This window comes from Homo sapiens, chromosome 2 (assembly GCF_000001405.40).
Source record: "Homo sapiens chromosome 2, GRCh38.p14 Primary Assembly".
NCBI lineage: Eukaryota > Metazoa > Chordata > Mammalia > Primates > Hominidae > Homo > Homo sapiens.
The window spans coordinates 24,719,431-24,731,652 of record NC_000002.12 but is presented as its reverse complement, the minus strand read 5'-3'; the positions used below and the strand labels follow the sequence as shown (position 1 = coordinate 24,731,652).

The 12,222-nt window shown below is 35.2% G+C and overlaps 1 protein-coding gene across 15 annotated transcripts in view; it reads right to left on the bottom strand.

The window, feature by feature from the left end:
• The window catches only part of NCOA1 (nuclear receptor coactivator 1), a 279,449-nt gene that overhangs the window by 39,050 nt on the left and 228,177 nt on the right, over positions 1-12,222 (bottom strand). For 14 of the 15 annotated variants that reach the window (XM_047446155.1, NM_001362950.1, NM_003743.5 and 11 more), the window contains 3 exons: positions 4,947-5,064; positions 3,177-3,345; positions 1,838-2,152 (listed from right to left, as the gene is read on the bottom strand). In XM_047446155.1, the coding sequence (XP_047302111.1) occupies positions 1,838-2,152; positions 3,177-3,345; positions 4,947-5,064 (602 nt within the window). The remainder of the gene's footprint in view (positions 1-1,837; positions 2,153-3,176; positions 3,346-4,946; positions 5,065-12,222) is intronic. The other variant, XM_047446158.1, reaches the window with a different exon arrangement.

Below are 12,222 nucleotides of genomic sequence, written 5' to 3'. Positions count from 1 at the left end.
TTGAATCCTTTATTCTACCCTAGCATTTAAAAAATTATTCCTTTTATTGTTATTCTATCATTTAAAAAATTTCCCTTTCTTAGTTCTCCTTTTCTCTTCTCTTTCGTCATCTTCCTTTTTTTAAACAGAATGGAAGCACATTTTATATTACATATTATGTTTATTGAATGCAACTTTATAGTAATAGCTAATATTTATCAACTGCTACAATATGCCAGGCATTATGCTACAAGCTTTACATGTTTTGTCTCATTTATTCCATACAACCACCAGTGAGGGAAAGGAGTTCTTTATTAGACTCTTTTTATAGATGAGGAATTAGAGGTTTTAAAAGGTAAATCATTTGATTAAGGCAACCCACTTAAGTTTGGAACTGGGACTTGAAACTAGAACTCTTAAAACCATTACATCATACTGCCTTTCCAGTATAATTTATCTCCTTCTTTCTCTTCCTTCCTGAATTAGTAAGTCTCCAGGGAACCTCTTTAAATACTTTTATAAAAATTCAAGGCAATATACAAATATGGTTTTAGAAACTACAAGATTCATAACAAGCAGCAACAATCTACAGCTCAGGTCCCCCTTCCCACAGCTGGCTTTTTTTTTTTTTTTTTTGAGACAGAGTCTTGCTCTGTCACCCAGGCTGGAGTGTAATGGCACAATCTCGGCTTGCTGCAACCTCCACCTCCCGGGTTCAAGTGATTCTCCTGCCTCAACCTCCAGAGTAGCTGGGATTATAGGCACGTGCCACCATGCCCGTTTTTTTTTTTTTTTTTTTTTTGTACTTTTAGTAGAAATGGGGTTTCATCATGTTGGCCACGCTGGTCTCGAACTCCTAACCTCAAGTGATCCACCCGCCTTGGTCTCCCAAAGTGCTGGGATTAGAGGCGTGAGCCACCACGCCCGGCCCACAGCAGACATTTTTAACTGTTTGCTCTTGTGGTCCTTAATGATTATCTCCATATCTGTTGCTTATACAATCTTAAATATTTATGCCACTACGCCTACTCATTTCCTGTCATGAGAGAGAAGATTTAACTCACTCACAACTCCCAGGCCCCTATTCTCCTTCATTCTCCTAATATAGTAACATCACTGGGCATCAATCTCTCCAACCTCAATCAATATAAATAAACTTTATTTTCTTTTCCAATAATCATAAACAGTATCTCTTGATGCTCTACTTTGTAAATTAAGCTGTTTCTCTTAATTTAATAATTGTATGATGTTCCCCTTAAATAGTTTGTATCTCAAAAAATAAAAATTAAATTGTTCTTTAAGTTATAGGTCTCTAAGTGCTTTATTAGGAGCCTAATTGAATGAATTGATTTAATTGAATGAAAGGTCTTTAATTGAATGAAAAGGTCCCTTATCCCTTTCCTAGGAGAGGAAGGATGGCTCTTCAAGTCTTTCATGAAAGTTCTGGGAGTGGACTTGACACTTTTATTGTAGCAACTGGGCTGCCTTGCAGAGAGATTTGGTATATACCTTTAAAAAGTATCAACTGCTGGCAGGGTGCGGTGGCTCACGCCTGTAATCCCAGCACTTTGGGAGGCCGAGGTGGGCAAATCACAAGGTCAACAGATCGAGACCATCCTGGCCAATATGGTGAAACCCTGTCTTTACTAAAAATATAAAAATTACCTGGGAGTGGTGGCACACACCTGTAATCCCAGCTACTCGGGAGTCTGAGGCAGGAGAATTGCTTGAACCTGGGAGGCGGCGGTTGCAGTGGGCTGAGATAGCACTACTGCACACTAGCCACACTAGCCTGGTGACAGGTGAGACTTCGTCTCAAAAAAAAAAAAAGTATCAACTGCTAAACAAGAGCACTTACCTGCTGTTGTCCCTGTAATCGCTGCTGTAGTTGAAGTCGAAGCTGGTTAGGTGCAGCCGGAGGTCTGTTTAGAGTTTGCCTGGGCTGCATGCCCATGCCAGGTGAAAAAGCACCTCGGGGAGGTGTTACTTGAACAGGCATCGTCCCCAGTGAAGGTTTTTGCCTGACCATGCCTTGGAAAGGGCTAGGGAGATTGGCAGTAGGAGAAGGAGAAGAGTAAGGCTGGGAATAAAGGTTGGGTCTTTCTTCCATGATCAAAGGTGGCGTTGCTTGTTGTGGTGGAAATCTCTCTGATAATACATCTAATCCACCCCCCTGTTAGAAAAGAAGCCAGAATATTTTACAAATAAATTTCTGCCAATAAGTAACATGCTTCCGTATTTCTAGAAAGCACCATCATATATTCATTCTGAATTCATGCTCTCCAGAAGTTTACTACCTAAAGAAATCATTTATAAAAGCTGCTTTTGAAATGGAGTAACGGATTAGCTGAGATATTTAAAATCTCAGTAAAGAGATGGCAATATAGTTAAAATAAAGGCTCCAAATCAATGAAATAAAACTAAAAGGTTTGGGAAAAAACTTCATTGCAAAGCCTAAGAATCAATAAACTTTACATTTAATAGCTTACTATAGGAAGTAGATTCTTAAAGGAGGGATCAAGCAGGCATTTTTCTATCTCAGATATAAAATTCATGCTTTTATTTGAAAAAAAAATCCACAGCTCATGTAACAGAAAGCTGTAGCGTTATGGTTTCCAAATGTTTTCACTATTACCCACTGTAAGAAATATAAATTGTGACCTAATTGCGCGCGTGCGCGTGTGCTTGTGTGTGTGTGTGTTTGTATGCAGCTGAAAGGAGTTTCACAAAACATGACTTCTTTTTATGGGCTATGCATTCTCATACTTTGTATTCTACACTATTCTACTCCATTTAAAAATGCTGGTCAAGATGCACTAAAGTGATTTTATCACCCTATCGTGTAAAAAAGGCTAACCTGGAAGTTGCAATACCATGGAATATACTGGCAGAAGACAAGCGTGAATGAAGGATAAATTAAGCTCTAAAATGAGAAGTGATGCTATAAATCTGGATTCTATTCTGGCTGGAGCTTGTAAGATTCTGTTCCATAGTGAAAAGCTAAGACTTATTTCTAATTCTAATTACTGTAATACTTTTTCTTAAAAAAAAAACTCATATATTTTGATAAGTTTCACAAGAGGTAAATTATAAAACAGCTAAAGCATAGTGGGTACAATACTTTAAAATCTTGCTTAAAATAATTTTCTAGCTTCTTAGGGCTCCATCAGTTAAATAATGTTGACTTTAATAAATACCTGAACAAGTTTGTCAATTCCCAGAGCTCTGTCTAGTTCAGCTAGCTCAGTTTCATCTTTGCCACTAAGGAAGGATACCAGCTGTTCAAGAAGAGCCTTCTCATCATTTCTCCCTTCTACTGTTGTGGGTGGACAGAGAAGCTCATCTAATTGTGAGCTAATACACTGGCTGCAGGATTAAAAAACAAGAAAGTTTCAGACTGACATAGCAAATAATTTATTCAATCTTTATATACATATATAGATGCAAATTTGGTCTTAGAAAATTCACTGTTGAGATGCTTGGCAATTCTAATGCCATGGAATGTTCTATGTTTAATGTGTAGAAATTAAATGAGTATTTGGTATGTAGCTTGAATATAGTTTTCATTCTTTTGTCAGTCATTGAACTTTGTTCCCATATTCTTTATGTTCCAGAAATAGCCTGGAAAATTAACCAAACAGTTAAGAAAGGGGAAATAACTTTTAATAAAAGTAAAAACAAAATCAGCCAAAAACTGAGAAAAAATCATTTAGCCTATATTCAGATTTATTCTACTTATTCTATTTATTTACCTTTTATGAATGCCATTAATTGTTAATAACTGAACCACAATCAAAACAGTACATATTATATTAACTTTTAAAGATGATCAAATCATTTTGATTGTTAACATGACATGATTACCATTTACAAAAGAAATCAAACTGGAAAAATGAAATATGCTAGGTATTAAGCAACAAATTATTCACTGATTACATGTAGGAAATATACAGTCTAATCCAAATAGATACCAACTGATACATAAAACAGAAATATATACAAAATAATACTAATCCTAATAACACTAATAATACAATTATAAGCATTCTTCCTTTGAGAAGGTAAATGGGAATACAGTTCATAGTTAAGGCGCTAAACCACAATCAATACTATCTAGTCTTCCTGTGGTTGGCAGGTATGAGACGCAGCCTGCGTTATGGAATATGGCTGCCTGCGGGGAGTAAGAAATTCAATTCTAATCAAGATGTGACACTGAGTAGATGTAAAAAGTATACTTTCCTTTCTTATAACTTCTTGCACCAAACGAAGAGAAATGCTGGACAAAATAATAATATAACTAAAAGTTCAAGAGCAATATAATTATTGTACTGAGGCCAATTCATCCATAGGTCCCAGATACATTATGGTAATCAATTAAAGTAATACATGAAATATAAAACAATAGCTACATATTATATCAATCTCTTGGTGATTACAACGTATACTAGCCTTGTGGTCATGCAGTCAATAAATCTGTTTAATTCAGTGTCTTTCCCTTGTCCCCGCCACCCTTTTTTTTTTTTTTTTTTTTTTTTGAGACAGAGTTTCACTCTTGTTGCCCAGGCTGGAGTGCAATGGCGCAATCTTGGCTCACTGCAACCTCCACCTCCTGGGTTCAAGCAATTCTCCTGCCTCAGCCTCCTGAGTAGCTGGGATTACAGCTGCGCACCACCACGCCTGGCAAATTTTTTGTATTTTTAGTAGAGATGGGGTTTCACCATGTTGGCCAGGCTGATCTCAAACTCCTGACCTCAGGTGATCCACCTGCCTCCGCCTCCCAAAGTGCTGGGATTACAGGCCAGAGCCACTGCACCGGGCCCACTTTTTTTTTTTTTTTTTAGTAAGTATTTACATCTATTAATATCTCACAAAATACCACTGTAGACTGAAATGTAGTTTGGAAAAAATAGTTCTCTGTTTAGAAGTTGGTATCTGATACCTTATAAAATACAAAATGTATTACTTACTCTTCTGATTTACTCTGATTTATAGCTGTCACTGTATTATTTGTCCATGGAATCTGATCGCCTGTTCCTGGTTGTCCAAATTGGTTATCAATTGCTTCCAATTCCAGCTCAGGTAATCCTGATTTAAGAAGAAAAGGTAAGAAGTCATTATCTCAGTGGAGGATAAAATGATGGTATTTTCAAAAATAATATATTGGAGAGTGAGATTTCTCCTTTAAAATATTACTTCAATGATACAAAGGTCACTTATTCAGCAATTTAAACTATCTAGTGTGACCACATAATAAAAAAGTAAATGAGAAAGTGAAAAAAGATTTCTGAATCAAGGAAAATCTGATATTAAAGTTTGTACATAGGTTACTGTTATCCAGAATCACTCAGGACTTTGTCAGAAATTATTTATCTTAAAGATAAATTTAACAATTTTGGTTATCTGCTTTTCAGTCACATATCAGAATATGCTATAAGTAACACAGTGTCATCACCACGAAATAAGAGTGGTGAGCAAAAGATAAAATACATTCTATCAGAGGCAGGAACAGAAACTAGAATCTGAGGCCATGCAGCAAATGAACACAGCTCTACAGTTGCTAATCTTAGAATATAGCTGTACAATAACAGTATAAGAACTGAGACTTATAATGATGGCCCAAATGAAAAAAGAAGTTGAATTATGTTTTGTAATTGAAGAAAATAGTATATGCATTTTAGAACGTTTTTCTGTAACGCTTTTTTGGAAAGCTTTATGATCATCTCTGTACTATTTATACTAGAAAAAAATTTATAAATAACCTAAATTCCAGAAACTTAGGGACTGATTAATGAATTATGGCATAGATATTGACAATGTGCTGTTAAATGAAAAAAGAAAACATATTCCAAAACATTATTTTCAGGATGACTCTGTTTTTATAAACTATTTCATATATATTAATATAAAAAAATTCTGGGATCTCACACACACACACACACACACACACACACACACACACGCACACTTTAGGTCCACTTTAGGTAGTGAGATTAAAGGCTGCTTTTCTTTCTATGATGGTTATTTGAAATTTCTAAAATGAATATATATTAATTGATCATTGTTATGGGCTGAATTGTACCCCCCTCCAAATTAATATGCTGAAGTCCTAACCCCTGGTATCTCAGAATGTGACTATATTTGGAGACAGGGCCTTTAAAAAGGTAACTAAGACAAAATGGGTCTTTACAGTGGGCCCTAATCCAATATGACTAGTGTCTTTCCAAGAAGAGGAGTTCAGGAGAAAAAAAATACAGACAGAGGGATAACCTGACCCAGAGAGAAGAGGGCCATCTCCAAGCCAAGGAAAGAAGCCTCAGAAGAAACCAAAACTACTTTAGGCTTCCAGAATTGTGAGAAAATAAATTTCTGTTGTTTAAGCCACCTAGTCAGTGGTATTTTGTTATAGTAGCCCAAATAGAATCTTTTTTTAAAAACTAAAACAGCCTTGGAGTTTTAAGGGAAAGCTTATTGAGGTAGAATTTCTCATTCGAATGAATGAAGAATAAGTAGATTTAAGGATGCTTCCCAAAATGTACTTAATGCTAGTTACTGAACATTATTAACTACATAATACATGCAAGGCTCACTTCTAAGTGAATATATTCAATATTTAGTATAACTGAGAAATAAAAGTTACATAAACACATTTACTTTTAAATGTATATAATTACAGCTTTCGATTAACCTCATCTCTATCATGACAAATGATATAGAAATCAAATTCTGTAGGATTCTGAAAAACACAACAAAATAAAACAACAAAAAAAAAGGGAAATAATCACTTACTTTCTGTCATTATTTAAATCAGAAAGTTGGTCAAAGATTATCTAAAACTGTCCCATTGGCTCTGCCTACATGTTAATTCCTCAATCTTATTTCAAGAAATCTAATCTTAATTATTATAACCAAAATTAATTAATTTAAAAGTCTAAGAAAATTTACATGGCTGTCCACTGTCTACTAGCAATACTAAGTTTTGCAAGATAGTTTATTTGACTCAGTAATAGGACACAGTATCTAATTTTACTAGTCTTGAAAAAAATGTTAAGAAAATAAGTTGGATAAAATATTTTCAAAATAAGATTCATATGCTGAGTTTGGTGACTAAGCAAACAAAAACAAACAAAAAAATCCCCATACTAATAAAATTTTAAGTCAAAAAAAAGTTTTGTTTGGATAGACTGCATGCTTAAAAGAAGTTGGTTTTTATTCTGAAAGTCATTTCAACCTTTTGCGACTTTCTTTAGAAACTGCCTTCTGTAAAAAATGTGAAGGTATGCTTCACGTATTTCTTCTAGGAAATACACAGGCTCTCTCTCTTTGTCCAGAGAATAAATGAAATATTTTTGGTCATTTCTGTGACACAAACATGAGTAAGTATACATGTAATACAGGACAATACAGTCATTTCTGCTGGAAACAGGCAGCTGAAGTAGGGGCAGAAAACAAGCCCTAGGGATCCCCCGATCAAGCTATTAACATTCGTTATCATCTTTGCAAAGGGCTCAACATCATACTTCCTCCATTTAAAATATAGCTAAAAGGGACACTGAACCCAGCAAACAAAACAAAACAAAACAAAACAAAACAAAAAACAAACAAAAAAACCCCCCTTATATTAAGAAATAATTTAAAAATTTCTGTCACTTCCAAGATTAGGATATAGAAAAAAATTTCTGTACACCAAGTAGAAAGCATTTTCTTAACCATGAGGGTGGCTTTTGCACATTCTACTCTTCTAACAGTTGATTTAGTATCTACTGATTTTGATATTCACAGTTAATTTTCTTCAGCTGTTGTTAAGGAAGTTTCTGGTTTAGTTTTGTGTTACATTTGGCAGTAACTGCACAGCAGTTACAGTGTTTTATTTTTTTCAAAACATGATGTAGACAAAGAACTCATTTTTCTAACATATAAAAAATTCTATAAATCAATAGGATAAAAACCCAGTAAGACAATAGGTAGAGAATATGAACATAAATGAATATTATAAAATCATTAAAATATGATCTAATTCACAATAAAAGAAATATAGATTAAAATGACATTGAGATACCTAAAAGAATAAAACCATCAGATGGGCAAAAATGAGAAAGTACATAATTCAATGTATTGGCAAGGATATGCAGAAATGGAAACATTATCAGTTAGGGTGTAAGCTGAAACAACTGCTGGAAAGGACTATTTGGCAATATCTATCTTTTGACCCAGCAATTCTATTCAGAACTTGTATCTCAGATATACCGTCACATGTGGTAAATTATCTCTACATAAGATTATTCATTACAGCTTTGTGATAGCAAAAGATGCCTATCAGGCTACTGGTTAAGTAAATTCTGGTACAACTGTAAGAAGTTGTACAGCTATAAAAAAAGAATAAAGATGCTCTTTATGCACTGATACAGAATGACATCCATAGAACATTAAGTGAAAAAGTGACTAAGATACAGAACAGCTAATGTGTATAGTATGACACTATTTGTATTTTAAAAAGGGAAGTCTATGTACGTAATTTTTGAAGGTACAGAAAAAACGATACTGCCAGGAAAGATATTTTTCACTATATATTTTAAAAACTTTTTTGAATGTTGAACCGTGAATATCTTAATCACTAAAAATAAATAAACAAATATACAAAAACCATGAAATGTAACTTCAAAGGATTTTTTTTTTTTTTTTTTTTTGGAGACAGGGTCTCACTGTCGCCCAGGCTGGAGTGTAGTGGCATGATCTCGGCTCACTGCAACCTCCACCTCCTTGGGTTCAAGTGATCCTCCTGTCTCAGCTCCCCAAGTAGCTGGGACTACAGGTGCATACCACCATGCCTGGCTAATTTTTGTATTTTTTGCCCATGTTGCCCATTTTTCACCATGTTGCCCAAGCTGAAAAATGGATCTTTTTAGGTACTGAAAATGTTGCATACGAAAATAGTGATTTTTATAGTTATACAATATTTTTGATTTACTGTGAATTAATAAGATTAAAAAAAAATTATCCCAGAATGTTTATGTTCACAGAACACAAAAACAACTGCCTCACACGGTCATTCACTTATTCCAGTGATGTCAATGCTTAAATATTTTTGGAATTCTTCAGGAACTATCTCAACCAGTCCACAGGTCCTTCAAGAAAATAAGTTTCCTCATAGGTACACTTTTTAGTTTTTGATTTAAAAAAAACAGCATTATTCTTTTTAGATCAACGTATTTGGTTCCACATGACTGGAAATTTTCAAAAGTGAAATCTACCCTCAAACAATAGGGATTTGAAGATAGTCAAAAGGACACAGCAAAGGTTTTGAAGGTACTGACAAACAGGCATGCTGTACACATTCTGATCAACAGTACCCTCATAAAAGCTATCTCCATTGAAAAAGCAGTATTTACCTGGATGTGCTCTGGTAGAACATTTCTAACAAAATTACTTAAATCACTTGGCCACACTGCTTGGGTGTGTGTGTGTGCATACACACAACATGTTTTGAAACCAGGTGGATTGAGATTTAAATCCTGGTTTATTCTACAAATACTACTTTGGGGAAGTTTTTGTCTGTGTGTGTTTATGTGTCTCCCTTTTCTCTGGACCTTTGTTTTCTCATTTGTAAACGAACCCAAGGAGACTTGTGGTTCAATGTGGCAGATATATCACTTATATTTTATTTTCTCTTCAAAAACACCACTGAAATAACTCAAGAAAGAAAAAAGGGGAACACAAATCTACAGCCGAAGGAAAGGCAGAAGAAATTTTCATGGCAGAAGACTAAAACAACGAAGAATTTCTGAAAGACAAAACACAAATGGAAACAAACTGATTGTGAAACTTCAACTAAACTAAAACACTTGCAACAGGAGAAAGAGATTTTCCAAAGAGAGGAATTTTCCCAGAACACCAGAACAACTCCAGGCTCAGTGGTCATTTGAGCAAATAAAGGAACAGGCCATGGGCAATTGCTGGATAATTATGGATGGCTGAACAGCTGCTGCCAGGCCATTGCTCTGAGTGCAGCTGACTCTGGCACCTGTCCATGGGATTACAATTGTGAGCATATGACTCAAAATGGGAGTTCTGCCCAGGGAATCTCCCAAAGGGGGTGCTAGGGCTGCCACAAGGGGTTTCCCCACCTCCAAGGCCTATTCCTCACAACAACTGAGAAGTAGGGCTTCTATAATCAGAATCTACATTCACTGCCAGGGGAAAAGGGCTTCTCACTTTAGCTAAAGAAATACACTAGCTACCAGTATTTTAAAATTCTAGATCTTTTTCAATATATATGGAGAGACAGTCAAAATTTACCAAACATTCAAGAAAAGTCAACAGGAGAAAGAAAGCAACTTTAATGAAGAAAGTAATGTTGAAGAAAAAAGAGTTAGTATAGAAAATGAGTGAACCCCAAATTACAATAAATATCATCATACAGATTAAAAAGTCTATTGCATCCATAAAAAGTAATAGACTCCTAAGAAAAAGAATGTTTAGAAATCTTAAAATTATAGCTATGATGAAATGATCTCAATAGATGGACTGAAGGGCAGGATGGACATAGCTGAAGATTTAGTTTTGATCTGGAAAGTTGAGCTCAGAGATTCTCTCAGAATACAGTGCAAAATGGCAAGGAAAAGAAAAGTATAAGAGAAAAAGATAAGTGTCATGGGGGATAGAGCCATTACTTCTAACTGTGTATCTCAGGTGGTGAAGGAGGATGATAATTAAACTATCCTATGCAAGATATTTGTACGTGACACAGTTCAGCTAAGATTGAAGACTAAAGTAAGGAAAGGTGCTTGATTTTCCTGGGCGGGCACAAACTTAAGATGTGGGCCAATCAATAATAGACTCTGGTTCTAGTAGACAGTAGTGATGGGACAATTTAGAGGTAAGAGTGGGGCAGAGAATTAGAAGTGATTCTTTTCTTCTTCTCTTTATACGCTATCATATTTTTGTTCCCATCTTTTTTCTTTCTTTTTCCTTCTGCAATCCTTAATTCTTTTTTCCTTTTTCACACCCAACTTGTTTCCTTAGCCTTATGGTCTCTGAATTCTTTTTTCTTTCCTGTCTATATCTACACATTGTAGACTGGTTGTCTGCATCTACTGACCTCCCCCATATCTACCTTGGTATCTTCCCCTCTATGCTCTTGGCCTTTGCGAACATATTAGCACGAGGTGAAACAGATTCTGGCCTATTTACATACTTTCACTTATGGAGCTGTACTCCGGAGGGGAAGCCTCAAGGGAGAAAAAAGCTGTTTGCCTCAATACAGACTATGACAGAAAACACCCCACTTTCACAACTTGCAAAGCTAGCAGATACTATTTCTATTAACTCTAGTTTTTATCAAGTTAACACACACACATAATTTTATAAGTCAGAACCAAGAGGCCCATAATAAATAAAGCAGTTTCTTGCCTCACCCCTTCCAGTCACTTAGTTACCTCCTTCTCAATAGAGGCAACCATCTGCAACTCTGAAAACTGTTTTCTTTGGCATTGCCTATTTATTTCTAAATATGCATATATTGCTATTTCTTGATGTCTCCATTTTAGATTTACTGACTTCCCCTCATTATAGATGAGGTCTTAGTTCTTCCACATGTACCTCTCTTACTACCATCCTGGTTCCCAATTCCCTAACAGAGATCATAGTTTTTTATAAAATCAAAAGCTAATATTTTGATTATGATTATGCAAATATTGCTCACTGCTAAGTCAAATTGTGCACTTTGTTCGAACCTCCTCTCTTGTGCCATACTTTCTTTTTTCTGGAGTTAATAATTTTCTTATGTTTTCATTTGTCAGCGGTTCTAGAATTTATCAGATGTTTCAACATTCTGACATAAATCTATCAATAATATTTTCTATAAACTCAAGGAGATCAATTCATTTCTTCTCTGGAGGCCTCCTTTCTAGAGGATTCGCCAGGCCCCCGGTTCAATATGCACTGGTTGTTCCCTAATCTTGTGGATCAGCTGTCATTCCTGGGCTTCCTTTCAGATCCTTTGCTTCCTCCGTCTCTTTTGGTTTTGTCTCTTTTGGTTTTCCCCTGTTTAAGGACATCTTCCAGGACCTTTGCTAGAAAAGGTGAATATATCAAGCAGATAAAATCTGAGGTCTTTTATATCTGAAAATGCTTTATTCTATCTTTACAACTACAAGAAATGTGATAGTTATTGGCTGGAAATCATTCTACTCTCAGATATTTCTAAACTAAACTTCATTGATGTATAATTTACATACAATAAAATGC